The 24517-nt window shown below is 35.0% G+C and overlaps 1 protein-coding gene across 3 annotated transcripts in view, besides 1 other annotated feature; it reads left to right on the top strand.

Annotated features, from left to right (window-relative positions):
• The window catches only part of TRDN (triadin), a 420612-nt gene that overhangs the window by 259748 nt on the left and 136347 nt on the right, over window positions 1-24517 (top strand). For all 3 annotated transcript variants that reach the window (NM_006073.4, NM_001407315.1, NM_001251987.2), the window contains 2 exons: window positions 1572-1598; window positions 11021-11068. In NM_006073.4, coding sequence (NP_006064.2) covers window positions 1572-1598; window positions 11021-11068 — 75 coding nt within the window. The remainder of the gene's footprint in view (window positions 1-1571; window positions 1599-11020; window positions 11069-24517) is intronic.
• Window positions 13052-13252: a silencer, noted in NCBI's record as "peak6085 fragment used in MPRA reporter construct". NCBI's record gives its function as "represses an SCP1 promoter by STARR-seq MPRAs in K562 erythroleukemia cells {active_cell/tissue: K562}" and the evidence as "EXISTENCE:reporter gene assay evidence [ECO:0000049][PMID:32103011]".

Raw genomic sequence — 24517 nt, 5'->3', positions numbered from 1 at the left:
GGAGTTGCAGTGAGAGCAAAAGTAGATTTTGCCCAAAATATATTTACATTCTGATGAGAAAAAAACTGATTGAGAGTCAAACAACTAGACAAGACAAATAAACCTATCAACAAAAACTAAAAGTGCAGTTGCTGTGGATACCAAATTATTGTCTTGAAGTTTTCTAGCATTTAACCTGCCCAATTAATCATTTCAAATGAAAATTTCTGAAACCATTTATATTTCCCTCATTTAAAACTATCACCTCTTGATTTTGCCTGGCTAACTCCTACTGAAGGAGCTTCACTGAGTTATTTAGTATTGTGTGTGTGTGTGTGTATGGGTGATCATAACCTTATGTAATACCTATCAGTCATTCTTCCCATTTCATTTTATTTAAATGGAAATAGCATCTGCTCAATCTTATTTAAAAAACCACGCAAAGGGGCCCAACTGTAGTCTCACCCTACCACAAACCACGGAAAACTACAGGTTTGAATCCACATTTATTATTCATTTTTAAAGATTATAAAATATCCTGAGACAGCCCAAATCTGTTTTAAGTGTCTGTCCAATTACTTCCCATAGTATCATTTTCTTACTTTTATAATATTTCATATGCTGTTAAAATCGTATTATCTTTTCCCTTTTCTACCTTATATAGTCAGAAATTGGAAGAAGCCGACTGTTTTTTCTCTTTATTCCCAGAGCACCTATTGTAATGCCAGGACACATTGGGCGCTTGATGATGGCTTATTGAGTGAAGGAAGAAACACCAAATAGAACAATTACATTTTTATAAATTTAAAAACAGAAGACTTTAAAATAATTTACAAGATGCAATAATTGCACATTTCAGCATTTCATATTTTCACAGTATTTGACCTTTGGGAAGAAATGTTTTGTCTACTTTACAGAGAACACCCTGTTGGTTCAGAGTTGCATTTCCTCAAGCATAACACATCTTCTCACTTACGCATGTAAGAAGAACCTAAGATAGTGTGTGCATTATAGAAAGACAGAGAGACATACAGAATGACTATTGGTGTAGCCAGTTTTAAAAGTTTTAATAGTTAAATATTACTGTCTAATATTGAACCTGACAAAATACAATAAATTGCTTGAAATTATTATCTATTTTTTTCAGTGTGTGATTACAATGCAGCAACTTAGCAGTAACTAGCTGTAGTTCAAAAATTAAAACCATCAATTTGAATAATTTATGAAGTGAACTCATTCTTTTCACACTATTTTATAGACTTTGAGGAAAATGCATTTGCCTGTATATAAAAAAATGAGATCCTTGGATAATTAAAAATGGAGAGCAAGATGATTGATTTGTAAATGAATATTCTGTGTTGGGAGAAGTATGAATAACAAACAATAAAATTCTATAATTCATGGAATATATTTGGATTATATCAGAAAAATGGCACAGTATTATATTTTCCTTTTCTCAGATCTTATTTTTCTTTAGCTTCCAATATTATACACACAATCTTTAAACAATTAAGATAACCTTACAATTATTTTGGAAAGAGATAAGCAGATTTGTAATTACTGTTGACCTTATTATTTCTTGTCATTAACAGTTCCAAGTGACAAACAAGTAAAAGCAAGTATGTTGAACAAAATTTTTAAAGAAGAGCATATTTGGGCAGCTTACTCATTTGAATTTTCTGCTATAGACTATGCTAATGCTAATTTTGAGAATGGCTTACCAGCTTTTTGGTATGATTATTTGTTGTGCTGAATATGCAATATTACTTATCCCTGTCTTTTCCGTGAATTCATTCTTATTAAAATTTATCTATAGAGCTTTCATTTGTTAATTTGGCCACATCATAACCCCTTTGTGAAGTGTTACATTTTTATTTCTCATTTTGCAGTATAATAAGTGAACTCTTCAGTACACATCAGACTGAATTATCCTAAAGATTAATCAGTTGATCAAACCAGTAGGCAACCTAATTTGTCTACTATGAATATCCTGTCTCTAATGAAAGGTAGCCCCTCAACATTTTCTTAACCATTGCTCTTGGAATGTGACAATTCCCTTTTAAGGTTTCTATTCTTGGATTATGAAGTATTAACTGATAACCATAACATACTGTGGCATTTGCAGCAATGGTAACTTTGACAATATGCTTAGGAAAAAATGCTGAGAAATTGTTGATATTTCTTAGTTTGATGAAGTAACTGACTGTTATTAATAAAAGTTATTTTAAGCATAATGGAAAATATTTTGCCTTAGGAAGAAATACATAAGCTTTGTATATAGGATTTAAGTCAGTCCTCAGTTCTATGCGTGACATCAATGTGCTTATATATTTTTTGAGAGGTTAGAGGTAAACAAGTACTGGTGATGCTACTAATACATAAAACAAATGCCTGTTATTTAGTGCTGAGGTTTTTTTTTGTTTGTTTTTTTGTTTTTGTTTTTGTTTTTTTTGATGGAGTCTTTCTCTGTCACCAGGCTGGAGTGCAGCGGCGTGATCTTGGCTCACTGCACCTCCGCCTCCTGGGTTCAAGTGATTCTCCTGCCTAAGCCTCCCAAGTAGTTTTTGAGACATATTATGTCAGTAGATACATCAGATAAAAATTGAAAAATATATTGAGTAGCTTGATAGGAATGTCTTTTTTTAAAAAAAGTTACAGTTTGAAGTATACACATAGACATTGAGAACTTTACAAGAGAGGTTTAACATGAATCTAAAATTCCATTTATATTTCCATGAAAATTTTTAGTTAAATGTAAAGCTGATTGGAACTCTATATTATGGAGTCTTTGCTATGCTGATACTTAGTCTGTAGAAATGCTTAATCAAGAAAATATATCAAACAAATCTGATAATTTTGTAGCACTGGGAGAGAGCTTTAGATTGAAGATTGCTCTGAAAATGAAAATCTTCTTCCTAGAAAAATGTGACATATAGATAAAAATATTCATTTGCAATAAAAAAAAATCTGTAAGTTCTGCTATCTATGAAACAGACTATCCAATCAGGTTTTGAAGAGATCAGCATATTTTGCAGGAAATTAGCAAATTAGCTTGCCAAATCATCTTAAACACAATATAAGTTTCATAAGAGTTAATATTCTACTCCCTATATGGTTGAGAGATTTGCACTTGACATGGCCATTATCCTTCAACACAAAAATTAATTTGATATAATTCACAAACTGCTTAAATTATCTGATAACAAGGTGACCAGCCATTTTCCCAACTAAAAATGTATTTTGGCATTGAAGTCATACAGCAGGAGAATTTTTACTCAGCTGCTACATACAGCAGGCTACTTATAAAGTTAATGCCTAAAATGAAAATTACATATCATTATAGATACCATTGAAAAGCCTTTAAATTATCCATATAGTATGGTGCACATAGTTTTCTGTATATAACCTGCACATTTGAGATATGATTTTACAGTATGTTAAGTTGTGAGGTCAAATGAGAATGATAGAGATAGATAATTTAACATAAACTATGTATTTATGTGATGCAATTCCATAATGTTGAATTTAAAGGGATAGATGAGATTGACAGGGTTAAAGTCAGTCCAAGAAAAAAGTAAAAGGGGATTTGTCATTAAGACTGGATTAAAGGCCATAACTGGAAAGTGGATTGAGTTTGTAGTATGGGATTGTTTACTCTAGGTCCTGAGGAAACACCCGAAATCACTGTAGGAAAAATACTGGAGGACATGGACAAGCTTGGGACGTACATCACCTTCAGAATAGAGCATATATTAGTCCCTTTTCATGCTGCTGATAAAGACATATCCCACACTGGGCAATTTACCAAAGAAAGAGGTTTAATGAACTGACAGCCCCACATGGCCAGGGAGGCCTCACAATAATAGTGTAAGGCAAGGAGGAGCAAGTCACATCTTACATGGATGGTTGCAGGCAAAAAGAGAGCTTGTGTGAGAGAACTCCCATTTTTAAAACCATCAGCTCTTGTGAGACTTATTCACTATCACGAGAACAGCATAGGGAAGACTTGCCCCCATGATTCAATTACCTCCCACTGGGTCCCTTCCACAACGTGTGGGAATTGAAGATGAGATTCAGGTGGGGACACAGCCAAACCATATCATAGAGTCTCATAGTAACATGAGCTTCAAGAAAATGAAAACCTTTCAGATTACTGGTGCGATGCTAAAGAAGAGCACTCCATGCTTCCACATCGAAAGTTATGTGTCAGGGTGTGGTGTGGATGAAGAAAGTGTACCTTGGGCTAGGCAGGGATGCTGAAACTAGACTGACAATTTCTGCAAGTCAGCAAAGACTCCTTTATTTATCATAGTGTGAGCAAAAATACCTCAACACACCCACCTCCCCTACCTACATTCCCCTGCATGTGCCTCTCCACACATTGGATAGCAACACAGAGGTTGACAATAAAATTAGTCATTTCCAAGCATGGAGAGGACACAACAAGTAGATGTGTAGACTGTAGAGTGCTTCATGGCTTTAACACTGTATATATGGTGAATCTTCAAGAAGAAATATAGTAGACATTGTTTACCAAATATATGTGACCACATCACCCCTTTCTCTTTCAATGATCACATCAAGGATCACTATTTTTCAGAACCTTGGGTAGCACTGTCCCAGGTCACTTTATTCCACCTCAAGGACCTTAGGGCTGGGATCATGTATTCCATATGCATGGTCAGCCAGCCAGTAGTCAGTTTGAATTTTGAGGAAAATAGCCACCAAAGCCCAGGATAAAGCCAAAATATAGTCATTTTTAGCTCTGGATCTAATAATCAGGCATTTTTCACCCCTTGATTTTAGCATTGCACAGATTGGGTGTTATGTTCAGCCACCGAGCCTGACTATATTCATCTCCTTAACCACACTTCAGTGCCTAAATGTGAGTCAGATATCTATCATCTAATCTACTAATATATGTCAAGATCATTTAGGAGACATCTGTATGCAGAATTTAAAAGTAAAGTCCCATTGAATTTATTCAGCTATGTATGTTAGAAGAATATTTGGAGACAACTGCTCTTAATAAAATTGCATGGTTTTTTTTTTGACTCAGTTTAAATACTCTGGCATGGAAATGGCAGAAGTCTCCGGGAAGATCTATAGGCCTGAACCAGCATGCTTGATATAAAATGAGTTGTCTCTAGACCACACACTGCATGCCAAATATAATCTTGGTTGATCTATGTATGATCTTAGTCAGTTAGAACAGTCTTGGTGTACTATATTGTCCCAGAATAATTATTACTTGCACCTCTTTTCACTTGCTCGATTTTGTATAATATATTATATAATTACTAATAGTATCACAGCTGGTGCTGCCAGAATATATTCAAAACAGCACTCATACAGCACTAGAGTGATGATTTTATGAGGTTTAAGTACCAGGAAAGGTAAGATGTGAGAGACCTGGGACTGCCTTAGGTGGTAGGGTAAGGCATGCTTCTTGTTTAAAACTATGTGTAAAGATGAGGTTGGTGTCCTGAGTGCCAGCCCCAAACTGAAAATGCCATGGTTCAGAGTCCAAGAATGTTCATCAAGGTTGACACAAAGAGCTAGACTGATGAATACTGACAGAAGTAAAATCTAGGTTCAGTTAAGACATGAAGAGGTAGGGGAAAAAGGGACAGGATTTCAAATGGGAAACCAGAAATAAATTTTAGTATTTAAAAGTGACATAATGAACACAGCAACATGGCACTATAAAGCATGGCTATTGAGATCAGGACTATGTGTCCTAAGTGTTAGTAATAAAGCAGTCCCCAGATATTGTATTATAAAGGGTAGAATGGTATTGGTGTAGATATAAACAAATTTCCCAATAGGACGGAAAAAAAGAGACTTAAAATACATCACACTTGAGCAAAAATCTGACATAAGAAAAAGCAGCCATTTCAGAAAGTCAGAGTGTGGATAGATTATTTTTAAATGTTGCTGATATAGCTGGTATTCAATACAAAAATATAATTTATTCTTATTTCATACAGTTCTAAAATATCAGTTCCAAATGGTTCAAGAACTTAAATACTAAAGGCAAAACATGGCATAGTTTCTTTTAACCTAGGAAAATATACAGTTTCTTGAAATATGGGAGGATTTGAAAAACTAGATGTTCAAAATTCTAGTCATACATTTAATAGCTGACATTTTATTGTATTAAAATTATGATCTTCAATTTATCAATAAATGCAATAAAGAAAGATAATGGACAAGCCACAAACTTGTAAAAATACTTGTAATATATTTAAATAGCAAGAGATTAATAGCAAAAAATAGATGAACAACTCCAAAAATTAAAAAAAAAAAAGACAAAGACCTTGATAGACAATGGGCAGAAAAAAAAATGGGCACTAGATATAAGACTGCATTAAAAAAAGAAAAAATGCAAATGTTCTATAAACGTATCAAAAGATGTTCAACCTCTAAGTAATAACGGAATTGTACTTAAAAGTACAAGATAGTATTTTACATGAGACTAAATTTTCAAAATTAGGGAATAGGCTTATTCTGGTGATGGTAGTGATACGGAGCAAAAGAAACTCTCACGTATGCTGCTGATGTGAATGCAGAATTTAGGGAGAAAAATGTGTCATTTATCTAGGGTACATGCCTAGCAATTTCACTTCTATGAAAATTATTGCACATGTGCAAAAGGAGACACATGTGCAGGAATGTTCATAGCAGAATTATTTAGAAAACACAAAACTGGTTGTGACCTAGTGTCCACTGGCAGGAGAATAAATCCATAGTTTGTAGACCAAACATTGGAATGCTAGACAGCAGTTAAAGTTAATCAACTACAGCTACTCATATCAACATAGTTATATCTCAAAAAATCACACAAATTAAATAATACAGTTTAATTTATATAACACTAAATATTATAATGTAATTTAATTTATATAAAATTATCTTACCTTTATTTAGAGACAAATACATGTAATAAAAACCCATATAGAAAAATAAGGAAATAATTATTACAAAATATAGAACAACTGTAACTTTGAGATAGAGAAGCGTGCAGTGCTAGTAGGAAAAGTAAGAAGTTTCAAAGGCCTTGGCGATATTCTATTTCTTAGGTGTGCAGGAGGTTACAAAGGTGAACATTCTTTATTGCTATTCATTAGAATGTGCACAAATGTTATATGCCTTCTGTTTATATGATATCTTTCACAATAAAACAGGTTTGAAAAACAGAGAGTGAGAGGATAGAAGTGGTGACATTGAGTGTAGCAGCTCTATGCAGAGAGATGAGGTAGCTGAAAATGTCATATAGAATTGAAGGATGTGGTTGTCTGTGTCTCTAAAGAGTGACATGAGACATTGTGAAAGCATCAGTGAAGGAGAAAACTGATGAGGGAGCAGATCGAAGCAATACTGGCAAGAACAAAGGCCTTGACTTGGCAAAAGGAGATGGGATCCAGAAAAAAATATGGAAGGATTGGTACTAAAAAGGGGCAGGAACTGATCACCTTTTGGAACTGGAAAGAAAAATGGATGAGTATGTGCTGGTGTGGTAGTGGAACAGTGATGTAATTTAGTCTGCCCCTATTTTCTCTATGAATTTCTCAACAGCAGCTTACTTTTATGTTGTAGGATGTTTAAGGAGGGAAGAGAATATTTTCAACTTTTGTTAAGAGTATGAGAAAGCAACTTTATTGGGTCTGTGGTAATATTACTGGCCAGTGCTAAGTGATCTCATAAATGTGATCCACATTTGAAGTGAGGTCTGCTGCAGGGTGGGGGTCTTCCTTCAGCTTCGATGACTGCTCAGGTGGTAGGCATAAAGTACATTTGGTGTTTTGGCAGACATAGTGGGTTGATTCGTGCCTCCCACCAAAAGATATGTTGAAGCTCTACCCTGGTACCTATGAATGTGACCGATTTTGAAATAGGGTCTTCATAGATATACTCAAGTTAAGATGAGGTCATGCTGGATTAGGGTGGGCCCTCAATCTGATGACTGGTATCCTTAAAAGAAGAGGAAATTTGGGACACACAGATGCATACAGAAGACTGCCACATGAACATAAAAGCAGAAATTGCAGCAACGCAGCTTCAAGCCAAGGAATGCCAAGGGTTCCTGGCAACTAGCAGACTCTAGGAGGAGGCAAGGAAGGATTCTTCCCAAGATCCTTTAGAGGGAGATTTCTAGGGTCCTGCCAATGCCTGAATTTTGGACTTCCAGCCTCTAGAACTGTGGAAAAATGTATTTGTTTTGTATTTATCTACCCAATAGTTTTAAGGCAGTCCTAGGAAATTAATACAGCAGATGACTATAACAACAGAAAATACGTGAGTGATTTAACTATGGCTCATTTATGCATAAGCTTGGTAAGAAGTAAAGTGAGGATATGAGGAAAATCTTGAAAAATGAGAAAGTGGCAAGAACAAGGAATGGAAGTATTAATGGGATCAGATACCGTATAATGGGAGTTCTTGTGTAAGTGAGCTCTAAAGAGAAAAAAATGGTGCCAAAGAATATAATTTTTAAAATCAAAATTCTGGCAGTAAAGGAAAATTCTGAGGGTACAAATATAGTTGGAAATTGCCAGAGAAGTGGAGTTTCTAGTTTTCTGAATTGAGGAGGCCAAGGAGGTCAGAGATCATGTAATTGTATGAGTTGTGTATATCAGTGACTCCCAACCCTGGCAAAATATTAGAGTATCCTGGAAATCTTAAAAATATACCAATACTCAGGGCTCACGCCAGACTCATTAACTTAGAATCTCAAAGCTCTGTTGCCCACTCCAGATATCTGAATATCATAGGCTTAGAAAAACTCCCCAGCTTATTCTAAGGTGCAGACAGGGTTAAGAATGATTCTTAATAATATTCATAGTAGTAGTAGAGCAGATGATAACTGTGTGCAAAAATAGTCAATGAATGTCAGGAAAGGCCACAAGACTGGTTGATGACAACAATGAAGAGGAGTAGAGAGTGGTGCAACCTGATAGCATGTACTTCAAAAGAACTGGGGTTTGGAGGAAGCAAGGAGATAATCTATGAAGAGTAATGAGAAACAAAGAGGATATAAATATGCATTACTTCTATACACCTTGGTATGTGGAGGATGGAAAAACAAGCATTCTCCATTTTAGAAGACTACCATCAGGAGGGGATACAGTGGCCTTAGTGAGCTAGGATTTGATTAAAGGAAGAAAGTAAAATGAACATTCTGAGAAGAGGCTGAAGATACAGGAGTGAATGCTGCTGATGGACAGAGGACACAGAGGAAGGGATTTGGAAGTATGTCAGCTTCTAGGAGAAATACAGAGCCATATGGACTCTGTTTTCTGCTAGAAGGCTGAAACTCATGGTAGTAACTGAGGTAAGTAGGGAGGGGGACTCACAGTAGGAATAGTCTTGACTGATTCATAGGGGAAATTTGGTTATCAGTTTCCAAAGTGCGGTCCAAATCAGGAGCCTAAGCATCCCCTGGGAACTGGTTAGAAATGCAGGTTCTCAGAATATGCCTCCGACATACTGAATCAGACCTTTTGCGCTCAGCATCTGTTTCAATAGCCCTCCAGCGTGAACCTGATGCATGCTTAAGTTTAAGAGCCATTGATCTAAAGTCTTTACCTGGAAGGTATAAAACAGCCAGGAGTCTGTTCAGTCTTGAAGCCCAGGGTATTGAGATAGCTCGAAGAAGAGGTTATGTATGTCACTTCTTGCCTGGGTTTAAATTGTGACTCTTGGGGCATCTATCATTGTGGAATTAAAACCTGAAAGTGACATGAAGATCTCCTTCTGATGTCTGATGTCTTTCAAAAGCCGGGTTTTGTGGCACAGAGAGGATGAGGGGTGTAAAGGCTCGCCTTGTTTGATTTGGTTGTTCTCAGAGCATCAGTGCTGAGCATATATGGGTGAAGGGTGATACAAACAAATACCAATAAGAATAAAAATAAGAATATATATGACCAAGGGGAACAACCTCAACTAATCAAAAGTTATAAAATGAGGAAATAAGACTTCGTGAAAATTCACGAGCTTATTATTATTATTATTATTATTTTATTTTCCTGTGGACTAGAGAAAACTTTGACTTTAACTAGCTTTGATTTGTGATCCAATACTCTGTCCTAGCCCCAACAGTTCAGATTATGACTTCAGGGCAGCTCTCCTGTCTTCCACTCTAAGTATTTAGAGAAACCAAAAGGCCACTTTTTGTCATTTTATTCTCTTTGTCTCTCTTGAAGAAACATTCAAATGAAATTTTCTATGATATTACAGCTAATCTTTTACAGTGTAAAACTAATTCATTGAGGTCAAATATTGTTTGCTTGCAATCAGTATTAAACAACTTTTAGCAGACTCAACCATGATTAAAAGCTAAACAAAGAAGCCCTTTTAAATGCTCTTCTCTATAATTCATATGTAACTTAAAATTTGTAGACTATGGCCGGGCGTGGTGGCTCATGCCTGTAATCCCAGCACTTTGGGAGGCTGAGGCGGGCGGATCACCTGAGGTCAGGAGTTCAAGACCAGCCTGGCCAACATGGTGAAACCCCGTCTCTACTAAAAATACAAAAATTAGCTGGGCATGGTGGCGGGCGGTTGTAGTCCCAGCTACTCGGGAGGCTGGGGCAGGGGAATTGCTTGAACCTGGGAGGGAGAGGTTGCAGTGAGTCGAGATTGCGCCACTGCATTCCAGCCTGGGCAACAAGAGCCAATCTCCGTTTAAAAAAAAAAATTGTAGACTAATAAATTAGTATCCCATTGTATTGAATGTGGCCTTAATTTTAAGAACTATTGATCTAAAGTCTATGGAATAGGCCACCTTCTTTTATGGTCACTACCTACATTTTTAAGATAATAGAGTTGCACCTTGGAAGAGAATTTCTTTATTGCTATTTAAGGAAGTTTATTAATTGAAAAAATCATATAAGCACTTTGTATTTTGGCTTTCTCTACAGCTTGCTTTGCTCTCATGTGCAACATACATTTTATCTTTAATTTTATTCTCAATAGTATAAGATGTGAATTTGGCATCACTAATATCCACTTCTCATTCCTTTAATATCTGAACTTGCAGAAACTGAACGAGCCAAAGAGGAGATTGGTGCGGTTTCAATTAAAAAAGGTAAATGCAGCTTAAAGATAAAGATGTCATAACTATAAGTTATTTCTGCTAAGGTTTCTAACAATGTATTGTTTTGTGCTTAGAAAAGAGCTCTATTTATTGATTTTACTAGTTCGTTGATATAGAAACAAACCTATTTTGCACAAGATTTTATCATTACTGTTCTAAAGCCTATAGTTTTATTCCTTTAGGACCATAAATTAAAGCTAGTTATGCTAGTCAAATTGCAAGTTAATTTTGAAAAATTATAGAAATGTAACTGTTTAAACTCCATAGGATCCCCATCATCTGGAGAGCATTCTAGTGCAACATACTGCCTTAAGAGATTAGGAATCGAACAAATGAAACTTTAACTAAAAGTACTCACATGAACAAGATTCACTTTGTTCAAGAATAGTATAAAATTATGAAATGTATTAGGTGAGATGCTGACTTGGAGACATTTTGCTTTAAGAAATATATTGGGAAGTCTGAAATGAAGTCAATAATGTAGCCAATGTCTTTGGAAGTATATCAAGAGACAATTTAATAAGCCTATCCTCAACATACACTGATGCATACACACACGCAAACCTGCACACATACCCTTACACACATACTCCACTAAAACCACTTCTCCTAAAAGACTAATTTATTGCACATGCTTTATAAAGAAAACATATAACAGGATTGTAGGTAGATAGAAAATATATATGACACATATTCACATACTCAATCCCAAACAATGTATACATATGAATATAAATGAATACAGGAATGTAACTTAATATCTAATATAAATTTATGTTTATTGATACAGTATAAATTAATGTTAGCTACTCTATAAATTAATTTATTGATTATTTTATATATACATATATCTCTAAGGGAAAGCAACAAAAATTAGTGAATTCTTTAAGAAAAATATGAACTGTATTTGCAGGCAATAATTAGAAGCAATTAAGTTATTGAAATTAATAGATGCTCTCTTTCAAATACAGCTCTATTATTCTGAATTTACAGTAGATAGGGCTAAAATCTATTTCCTAGTCATTTCTTTTTCTTATAATCTAATATTTGTGATGTCAGTTTTTAGCTAGGTGATCATGATACATCTTTCATTGACATCATTTGTACTATAAATGGCAGAGTAATTCATTTATCAGAAGTTATTGTTAATGCGGTGTCATATTCTGGAATTGACATTGCTCATTAGTATTAAGTGAAATGTGGGTTAAACTTGTTTGCTTCAAAATGAGTAATTGTATTAACAAGAAAAAACTGAGTCTTAATATAGTGTCAGAGAAAATCACTAACATAGACATAGATACAGAGTTCATGGGCCCAGTAAGTGGACTTAAGGCCAAGGCACTGATTTATGTTGAAAGGACAAAAGTGTGGCCAACTTATGTTCAAAAATTAGACAAAGCTAAAAGCAACAAGATGTCCAAATAGCAGAAGATAGGTTTCTTTTGGAGTGAGATTTTATTTTTATTATTTTTTAATTTTTTGAGACAGTCTTTCTCTGTCACCAGGCTGGAGTGCAGTGGCACGATCTCGGCTCACTGCAACCTCCGCCTCCCAGGTTCAAGCAATTCTCAAGCAATTCTCTTGCCTCAGCTTCCTGAGTAGCTGGGACTACAGGCACGCACCATCACGCCCAGCTAATTTTTGTATTTTTAGTACAGACAGGGTTTCACCATGTTGGCCAGGGTGGTCTCAATCTCTTGACGTTGTGATCTGCCCGCCTCAGCCTCTCAAAGTGTTGGAATTACAGGCGTGAGCCACCACGCCCGACTGGAATTAGATTTTATATACAGAGCCTTAGTGAATCCATGTTTGTGGAAGACAGTCTTGAGACACAGTTAAGAAGCAAAGGTTGAACTCCTGGTAGCTGATCCATAGACTCTGCGCTCTGCATCAATGGGAGCCTGGATATTGTTAGAAGAAAACCTTGGCCAAATTATATTTAACACAGTTTAACTGAGCAAAAAATGATTCATGAATTGGGCAGCTTCCTGAGCCAGAGTAGGCTCAGAGAAACTTCAGCAAAGCCTCGTGGTGGAAGGATTTATGGACAGAACAAGGAACATGACATACAGAAAAAGAAAGTGAGATACAGAAACAGCTAGATTGGTTACAGCTTGACCTTTGCCTCTTTTGGACACAGTTTGAACAGCTGGTTCCCTTTGGTTGGCCAAAATTTGGTAATTAGCACAAGAGTAGATTACAGCCTGTTTCTACCTCCATTTGGGTTCACTATGTACAGAGAAACCTCTACGCCAAACTCAAAATATGTAAGGAGGCAACTTCAGGCTAGGCTTGATTGAACAGTATTTAGGGTAGAAATATAAGCTCACATAGTATGGGGTTGAATCAGGACAAATTGGAGTTAGCACATAGACAGAATTGAAATTGAACCATCAATTAGTGAACTCACCAGAGTCCTCAACTAAGAATGGTCACTGAGTTTATAGAGTATGGCCAAACATTTTGGTTGGGGTTACGTAGACTTGCTTGTCAGGCTTAGAGGGAAGTGAAAGGAAATAAATTATCTATCTATTCGCATGCATTATTGACATCAACTACTTTGCTTCTAGTTGGTCATAGATCTCATACCCCAATTCTCAATTTAAATATAATTCTACATATTGAGTTTATTTGCAACTACAGCACGAACAGAAATAAGTGTCCTTTTCAAAGCAACCATAGCTGTTTTGAAACTCATGAAGGGTTTTACCAATTTGACAAATTACAAACAAAAATCAAAGGATACTTTTCTCATTTGTCAAGTAACTTGTTCATCTCCTACCTCTCACTGACAATCAGCCGTGCATGAAAAAATATATTGTTCTCATCATGTATTTACTACCCAATCCCCAAATTCCACAATACTTAGCATACTTTACAACTGGTCCACCTCTAGCCTTTCACATGTGAGTAGAATAAGCAAGTATTTTTTTTTGTTTTTAAGATATTACAAAATTGTTCTAAATTGAGGCTTAAACTAGGAACTGTGTGCAATGTTAAGTGGAAATTACTAATTTTGTAATTGTTTTAAAGTTTTTGAAGATGAATAATAATTTAACATTTTAAGGTGTTCACTGTAATGTGTCAATTTATCTGCAGCATAAATTGTCTTATCTTAAGCCTACTTTTAAGTCATATTTTATTTGGAGATACATAGTATTTAGTCATTAATATGATAGCAGCTTGCTAATTTATATCTGATTTTCACCTTGCAGTTTTCTAATCATTTTCATATTTACTCACCATATATTTGTGGATTATATATTATATGAAAAATCGAGAAAAATTTTAAATGTTAATATTGTTCTTGAGCAATTTAAAATACTAAAAATAGGTGAAACTTTATTAAGTCACTAAGCTGGCCTGAAGTTTTACTGTCAATGAAAGTTTTTTGTATTACCATATTTCAAGGTTGAAAGCCATCAGGGTAGAGATATAAATACAGGTAAAGTTCTACGGAAGTTTGAAAATTAATCTTACCTGGGGAAAAGACAATGTTTACGGCAGAAGATGACTTTAGAGTTAAGCCTTAAATAAGAGATGGGGTTTTGCTATGTAAATGAGTTAGAAAAAAATATCCTGGGCATAGATTTCAGAGCAAGGCAAAGTGATACAAATTTGTAGTATGTATATGAGGAACAGTAATTATCTCAAGACCATTGTAGGAATTAATATAAACTGGGCTAATAATGCCATAAAAGGCCTTGTTTTAAAATTGGACTTTATTCCATGGGCAATTAGGGAGGTGATGAAAAATTGTAAGTATATAAATAACACTCAAACATATGCTTTAGGGAGAGTAACTAATAAAGGAAAATTTTGAAATAGGCAGATTAGAAAGATTCTCAACAATGTAGTGAAAAGTGTTAGGACCTGGACTAGGGCATTAGTTATGAGATTGGAAGAGAGAGAGATTATGTTAGCACTAATAAAGAAGTATATTCAGTGGAATTTCACAACTGATGATAAGCTTTGGGAGGGAAGAAAAGAAAAATAATTTAATGACAATAGCGTTCTTCAGACTGGCTGCCAGAAGAATATTGTTAATATTCTTAATAACAATGAAAAAGAAAAGCTAAAGACTTTGGAGAGAAAAGGCAAGATTAATTTTACATAAATTTAAGTCAAAGTGCTAGTAGCACATGAAGGTAGCATCACATAGGTGGTTCTAGAAATAAAACTAGAGCTCCAGACAATGATAGGCTGGAGATGTATACATTGGTGCCCTTTGCATGGAGGTAATTGAGCTTGTCTGGTCATGATGAGATAAGGTAACATTTACATTTGCATTTGTTTGGGGAAAGAACAAGGAAAATCAAAGATAAAAGCAGACTAAAATAACTTCAGTAACTGCAGAAAAAAAAACTTCCAATAGGAAGGTGATGGTCATGGGATTTGTCAGGTACATAATATATTAATAATTTTCAATACAGAATTTTCAGGGGAGTGACATCCAAAAACCCTAAAGGGTGACAAATTGAATGAGGAAAGAGGGAGTGAAGTATATGAGAAATGATGATGAAGATAGTTGGCTGGGAATAAAAAATAGTATAGTAGCTGGTGTTTTTATTTAACCCATATCCATCTCTCTCTCTCTCTTTTTTTTTATTATACTTTAAGTTCTGGGGTACATGTGCAAAACGTGTTTTGTTACATGGGTATACACATGCCATGGTGGTTTGCTGAACCCATCAACCCATCATCTACATTAGGTATTTCTCCTAATGCTATCCCTCCCTTTGCCCCCCACCCACCGACAGGCCCCAGTGTGTGATGTTCCCCTCCCTGTTCTCATTGTTCCACTCCCACTTATGTGTGAGAACATGCAATGTTGGTTTTCTGTTCTTGTGTTAGTTTGCTGAGAATGATGGTTTCCACTTTCATCCATGTCCCTGCAAAGGACATGAACTCATCGTTTTTTTATGGCTGCATAGTATTCTATGGTGTTCAACCATTGTGGAAGACAGTGTGGCAATTCCTCAAGGATCTAGAACCAGAAATACTGTTTGACACGGCAATCCTATTACTGGGTATATATACCTAAAGGATTATAAATCATTCTACTATAAAGACACATGCACACGTATGTTTATTGCGGCACTATTCACAATAGCAAAGACTTGGAACCAACCCAAATGCCCATCAATGATAGACTGGATAAAGAAAATGTGGCACATATCCATCTATCTTTTAATCTCAGAGGTAGTGTTTCTCCTTCTCTTCAGGACCAGTTTCTCCAGTTTTTCCTTCAAATCAGTCATCCATACCATTTTGTGGCGTCCTCCTCTTTCTTGTTACTGGCATTGTTCCTCATCTTGGAAATGTTTTTTCTCTGATTAAAATTACTTCTTTTCCTTGATTTACACCTCTCTCTCTCTCCCTGTCTCTCTCTCTCTCTCTCTCTCCGTCTCTCTCTCTCTCTTTCTCTCTGTCTCTCTACCACTTTATCTCCTTCCCATGTCAGCCAGCTTTCTGAATGCTGGAATCCTAGCACTGCCTCTGGCCTTCCACAAAGACTAAGCTCCTGTCCCTACCATGCCACTGAAGCTCCAGCCAATGCTGATGACATCATCATTGCTAAGCCAACAGAATGCTTCCATCCTTATGTTACTAGATTTCTCAGTTGCATTTATCACTTTGTCTCTTCTCCAAACTTCTCTGTTGTTGGGCTACCATGACAATATAGTCCCCTGGTTCTCTCCATATGACTGGCCTTTATTTCTGGCTTCTTTGTGTTTTTTCTTTCATCTGTTGCCTCGTGATTGTTGGTGTTCCTCATAATTCATTATTAATCCTCTGAACTTCTCATTCTGTACCATTTCCTTTTGAGATATATCTGCTCTCAAAGTTGAAACTCTGCCCTATATCATGAAGTTTTTTCAATCCTGTGTCCCCATCTCAGAATTTTTTAATGAATTTCAGGCTTGTATGTTCAACTGCCCAATAAATATCTTCAAATTCAGCTTCACAATAGCTAATGCATGCTGGGCTTAATACCTAGGTGATAGGTTGATAAGGTACAGCAAACCACCATGGCACACGTTTACCTATGTAACAAACCTGCGCTTCCTGCACTTGTACCCCGGAACTTAAAATAATAAAAAATAAATTAAAAAAAAATTCCCCTTCACGGCCAGGCGCAGTGGCTCATGCCTGTAATCCCAGCACTTTGGGAGGCCGAGATGGGTGGATCATGAGGTCAGGAGATCGAGACCATCCTGGCTAACACGGTGAAATCCCGTCTCTACTAAAAATACGAAAAATTAGCCAGGCGTGGTGGCAGGTGCCTGTAATCCCAGCTACTCGGGAGGCTGAGGCAGGAGAATGGCGTGAACCCAGGAGGCGGAGCTTGCGGTGAGCCGAGATCCGGCCACTGCACTCCAGCCTGGGCGACAGAGCGAGGCTCTGTCTCAAACAAACAAACAAACAAACAAACAAATCCCCTTCACATTCAATCTTTCTTAACCTAAAGTCCTCATTTTCTCTTTCCAACTTACTGTTTCTGTTTCTTGAGCATATTTTCTCTTATTTGTAGCCATTACTGCCATACTAATTCAAGCCTTCATTGTCTTCTACCAGAACCACTGAAATAACCTCATGCTGCCCTCATGTTTTTATTTTTATTCCACTAATATTCATCTAGTAGAACATCCCAATGGCCACAATAATTTAGTAAGACCACAAAACTGAATAAGCCACTTAAAATTTAATATTCTGTTCCCCTGTTTTCCATAAGATAAAAATCCAAGCTTGTTAAAATGGCATATAGAGTGCCCCAAGAACTGGCTCCTATATCCTTTTCCAACTTCATCTTTAGACATGCCTTGTTTTCTATGCTACAACAATCCTATAATGCTATGTTCATAATTCCGACTATGTTAGAAGACTGTAGGAAGATTGGAGCAGGAAGTGATAGCCTTGTGAACAGATTAAGTAGTTAGCATCACCTGAGAATTGACGAGAAACCTCTGTTTCCACTTTCCACCATAATATGTATCTGGAGACTAAACTGATGCAATATTTTTTCTTTCATAATTAGTGATTTATTCCAATGTTTCAGTCAATGACCTCTCGGGGCAGTACCTGTAAAATCTGAATAGATCATGGACAGTTCTTATATTTCTGGCAGTATCTTATATTTTTGGAAATAATAGCATTCTATCTTTGGAAATAATAGTTTATCATGCTATGGCTGTAGGTCTACCTCTCCGAAGTAATATGTGTCATATGAGGGACACTTCAAACGGCACAATATTTTCTTACCACTCCTCACTTCCTCACCACTATTCTAGCATACTTCTCCTCCAGGTAAGTCTCACTTCTCCATTTAAACGTACCTACTAGGCTGGGCGCGGTGGCTCACGCCTGTAATCCCAGTGCTTTGGGAGGCCGAGGCAGGTGAATCACCTGAGGTCAGGAGTTCGAGACCAGCCTGACCAACATGGTGAAACCCTGTCTCTACTAAAACAAACAAAACAAAACAATACAAAAAAATTAGCCAGGCATGGTGGCGGGTGCCTGTAATCCCAGCTACTCGGGAGGCTAAGGCAGGAGAATCGCTTGAACCCAGAAGGCAGAGGTTGCAGTGAGCCAAGATTGCACCATTACACTCCAGCCTGGGCGACAAATGCAAAACTCCATAAAAAAAAAAAAGTACCTGCTAATACTGCTAATAAAGGGCATACATCAGAGCCCCCATGGGTGATACGGAGAAAAAAGGGAGGGATGTCAATTGTATTGGAGAATTGGGTGCTGAAGGAAAATTGTAGGGAAGAATAGTGAAATAAAAGCCTAAAACATAAAATCAACGTCCCAGCTCCCAGTTTAGCTAAAGAATAGCCCTAATCTGGGCATTACATACCAAGTGTGTTAGCTGCTTTGTCTCCTTTACATTAGTTTTGATTTCTGAAGTAGTGAAATAAGAATCTATTTTTTTTTCTAAAATACGCTTCTACAAAAGTAGAAAAAAGAGAATTTCTTCACTCAGCACTAAAGGATATTCCAGATATCTTGTGGTATAGAAAGAGAAACTGATGACGGTCTTCTTTTGACTCCAAGAAGTTAAAAAATTCACTTACTTAGATGAGCTGTTTATTTCTAATGTTTGCTCTTCATAGAATTAGAATTGATGAATTTTACATTAGAACCAGAAAAGAAAGGATCAACATTTTATGTGAAATGTTATCTTTTCTGTATAGATAATCAGCATTTCCAGTGACCTTTTCTGAGCAACAAAAAACATAGCACTTTAAGGGACTAGCCTTCTCTATTTAATATGTGTGCCAGAAATTATGAACCCATCGTTGAAAAGAAAACTTGGTCTTTATATGTAAGTCACACTTCAGTTGTTTTCTGAGACATTTACCCTTCAGGGGATTCAATTAAAATAACTAAAAAATATGTATTTCCTAAACATACTTATAATGATTATTCTGAATAAAAGAATTATGAATAAGAATACCTACCTGTGTGGCTCTATTATAGTTACAAATTGTCAGTGTTTCATTTCCATGTTGATTTGAGACAGAACATTCATAGAATAGACTCAGGCACTACACATCTTACTAGCCTCTTATAGCGTACATTGTAAAGTGTAGCTCTAATTTGGCTTTCAAAGGTTTCTGCATTTGGTCCTATTCTCTATTTTTAGACTATCCCTTATCTCCTCTCTGGAAATCCTCTGCTCAAACTACACTTCCTCTAGGAACATCTAAGTCTTTCCCACTCCTTTGTCTTTCCTCATATATCATTGGCTATACCTAAAATCTCCTTTTCCTGGAAAACCACTAACATTGAAACTGATCTCTTTTCTCTTTCAACTGAAAATATTTATTATCAAGACATATCTTTTGTCAAGTGATACATTTAATTACAAAACAAGTCTATATTAATTAATTACTATGTTAGGAACAATTCTAGATGCTATGGTAAATGTAAGTAATACATTTCTAAGTATTCTATAAGTCAAAGAAAAAAGTGGGATTTTGGAGATCTAATGAACAAATGTATGATAAAATTTATATGCTTTTAGAAACATTCATCAGAAAAGAAAAAAGGCGGAATAAAAGATAGCTAAGAAGTCAATATTTTTTAATTCATAAAATTAAACCCAAGGAAAGTAGAAGGAAGAGAAATAAATGAAAGAGCCAAAGCTATTTATTTAGAAATCAAGTAGTACAACAGGAAAAGTCAAAATATTATTATCAATAAAATACAATAAAAATTATGAATGCTTATGAAAATATATTAAGAAAAAACAGAGAAGGTACAAAATATCAATATCAGAAATAAAAAGGGATCATCACTACAGATTCTATAGATAATAAGCAAATAAAAAGATTTTCCAATAAACTAAAACATTTTAATAAAATTAAAATTTTAAATTTATAATTGTAATTCTATTCCCCTCCCTCAATTTTAGCCAGATGGTTTCACTGGTGAATTATTTCAAACATTTAAGAAAAAATTAGCACCAATCTTACATCAAATTTTCCAGAGAATAGAAAAAGAGGTAATATTCTCTCATTATATGGGGTTAGAATTACTGTAATACCAAAACTTAAGTAGAGCAACAACTATATATATATATATATATATATATATATATATATATATATATATAAACTTCTTGTAAACCTAGAGGCATAGGTCTAAACAAAATATTAGCAGATTAAGTCTGCTAGTACGTATGAAAGATAAAATGCAGTCAGGTTGGTTTAATTTCAGAAATGCAAGCTCAAAAAATTAAAATACATACAAATTGATGTAATTAGCCAGAATAAAAGGAAACTATATTCATCATAGTAGATACATTTGATATAATTCATCACAAGAATAGAAACTTACTTAATCTGATAAAACATCTGCAAAAACCATTAGCAAACATCATACTTAATGGAGGAAATTAAAGGTTTTCCCCCTGCTAATCAAAACAAAATAAGGATGTTTGCGATCACCAGTTCTATCACACACCATAGTGGGTTTTCCATCCAGTGCAGTAAAATGAGAAAAAGAAATCATAAATATGCAAATAGAGAAGTAAGAAATAAAACACGTTATTCACAAATGATATGATTATCTACTTAAAAAATTCAAAACAATCTATAGAGGAAAATTGCTACAACTGAGTGACTAGCAAGTTTTCTGCATAAAATGTCAAATGAAACATAACTGCTTTAGAAATCAAGAGCAAAACTTTGGAAAATAAAGTGAAAGATGACTACAATGCTGTTCTAATATAATAGCATCAAATCCATAAAATATCTTGAAATAAATGTAACAAATTATGCATAATGTTCTTGAAGATCTCTTACATTTTAACATATTTGAGAAATTAAGGAACACAAAACTCAATGGAGGGATATTTTATGTTCACCAATCAGATGACTTGATTTTGTAAAGATATCAATTCTCAAAATGATCTATTAATTCATCATAATCCCAGTCAAAATCCTAGCAGATTTCTTGTTGTTGCTATTGTTTTATTTAAATTGATAAGCTGACTCGATTTTCATATGAAAAAGCAAATGTCTAAGAATAGCCAAGACAATCCTGAACAAGATCAAACTGGAAGGTTTGTAGTAGTAGATATCAAGAATTATCTTAAACCTACAGGAGTAATCAAGACTGAGTGGTATCCATTAGGAAAAAAGTGAAATTTTATCTCACACCTTACACAAATAATAATTCAGTGGATTGTACTGCTAAATTTAAATGATTAAAAATTATAATGCTACCAGGAAAAAATGTGGAAAATTTAGAATATCTTATAACCGTGGTGGAGGCAAATCTTTTTAAATAGAATACAAAAAGCATTAGTTACAAAGGAAAGATTGATACATTGAATTTAATTATCATTGAAACTCCTGTTAACGTAAACCAGAGAGAAAAAAATGTAAGTGGAAGAAGACATTTACAGTATATGTATATATGTGTGTATGTGTATATATATATTTAAAAAGACTCATTTAGAATATTACAGATGCATACAAATCAATGTAAAAAACATTAAAAAATTAGGCAAAAATCTAAAGAGGCACTCCACAGAAGAGGTTATCTAAATGCTGATAAGTATATGAAAAGCATGTGGCATTATTAGGTATCAGGAAAGACTGAAATTAAAGCCAAAATGTGATACTACTGCATAGAAAGACTGATATTTTTCTAAGAGACAGTAGTAGGATTTGTGCAATTTAAAAGAAAATAGTTATTTTATTTATTTTATTTTATTGTTACAATGTAAGGGAAATATATTAATTAAATTAGGCCATCCTTTCCCTACTTAGATTTCTTGTGCTTCCAGAGTCCTATTGCTGGTGCCTGAAATTCTGGAGAAGTTCTAGCTATTATCTCTTCAAATATCACTTCTTCCTCACACTGTCTAATCTTTTATTTTATAAGTTCAATTAGATGTATGTTAAGATGAATTCTATCTTCTATGTCTGTTAACCTCTTGTATATTTTCCATCTTTTTGTTTCTCTGGGATGAATTCCAGGCTATTTCTTCAGATATGTATTTCTACATTGCCCTTTACTCCTTACTTACATCTAACTAATCTATGAACAATTTTAATGTTATTTTTATAGAAATTTTCTTTATTTTTCAGATTTAATTTGCCTTTTAAAGAAAATGTATTACAGCCCTAAAATAAGATTGGATGAATAAACAGGAGTTTGCCTGTGAAAGTGAGATGATTGTGTTTTAGGCAAAGGTTAATAAAATAATAACAGCTTCTATTTAATGAGTTATGTGGCTGCCACTGGGCTGATTTCCTTAAATTGTTTTCACTTAGACCTTAAAACAGCCCTTGTAGCATTATCTGCATTTTTAACAAAAAGAATAAGGCTCAAGGTAAAATAATGTGCACTCATTTTTGCAGAAATTCAGTGGCAAAACTGGACTGTGCACTCTAAAACATTCATTGCTTCTTCTTCTAGGACACATAATCCCTTAGAATAACCAGAATTGTGGTTGCCCTTCAAGGGAATTTGATAATTTCAGGCTAAACTGCACAGTTCTTTTCTGGTAATAAATCAGTTCTGGAAAGTCACCTCAGGAATATCTTGGGACTTGTGCCTTTATTTCAGCATTGAAGGCCAACTTGCCTACCCCTTCCCACTGTCCTAACCCTAATATTGACTATAATCTAACAAAAACAGCAAAATAAAGAGCATAGCATTCATTGGTATTTACCCTATAATATCTTGTGTTATGTAAGATTTATCTACAGGTGTGATCTGTGAGGTTCATACATATTTATTTGCTTTTAGTTTAACATCTCCCTTGCTTCACAGTCACATGGTTTGCTCTATTTTGGGGTCATAATTGGGTAAAATAATAGGTTACTTTCCTGGAAATATAGGGAATTTTTTTCTAACCAGTGCATATTCAAATTTTTGGATATCTGTTTTTTTCAACAGATATAATTAAAGGTGAAATTCACCTCCTTTTTTTCCCTCCCTCCCTCCTTCCTTCTTCCCTTCTTAATTACACTGTCTTTTTACAAAGATCAGGACCAGTTACCTTATAGACATTTTTGATTGGTCTAATTATTTCTTCACAATATGGTTTAAAATGTTCTATACATCCTGTATTTGATGAAACTGAAAGCTAAATCTGGCTTAGCTAAATTTCAGTTGGATACCTTGGAAATAATACTTTAGAGATGATACTGTATATGCTACACGGCATCTCATCAGGAAGCAAAAGATGTCTGGATGTCCTGATATGAATGAATGTTTCTAAGTTTCATCAGTGGGTTAAGTTGGCTACAGACACATTTCTTCATTTTAAAGTTGTATTTTTTCTTCTTTCAGTTTTATGTGGGGTGATATTTGGGTGCAATAGCAATAATCAGTTCCTCATCAATCTTTCATTTAATGGTTGCTAATGAACTCTGAAGATTTTCTTGAATCAATTCTTTCAATGGAGTGCACTGATTCCAAATGAATCATTTGTACTGTTCTACTTTTGGACTGTCAACTACTGTAAATAGGTAAACAGTGAATACTTCACTGAGAGCAAAACATCTTAGAGAAAGGGGTACAGCACCCAAATAATCCCCTTTTGGTTACTGATGATTTGGGATGGTTTCATTTAATATTTAAATGAATCTCAGGCATGACTACACTATTGTTTCAGCTGATTAAGCTATGTTAAGCACGAATATAAAGGAGCATCTAGTTGACATTTACAAGACACTAAATGACTCCAGCAATAACCTGGAATGCAAGTAGATTAATCATAGTCCTGTCAAGTGGAATTCTATGTAGAGCTTGTTTATCAAAGCGGAGTGTAAAGGAATAAAACAGATACAATTGTAGAAATGTAGGCAGAAGATTATCACTTTTTTCTTTAATTCTTTAGATATAAAATCTGGTTTCAATTGCGTTATAGAGAAATGAGAAATGTTTAAGAAGCTTCAAAATAACTTGTGTAAA

Source organism: Homo sapiens, chromosome 6, assembly GCF_000001405.40.
Source record: "Homo sapiens chromosome 6, GRCh38.p14 Primary Assembly".
NCBI classification, from domain to species: Eukaryota; Metazoa; Chordata; class Mammalia; order Primates; family Hominidae; genus Homo; species Homo sapiens.
The sequence above is the reverse complement of the archived record's forward strand: the minus strand, read 5'-3'. Positions and strand labels throughout refer to the sequence as shown.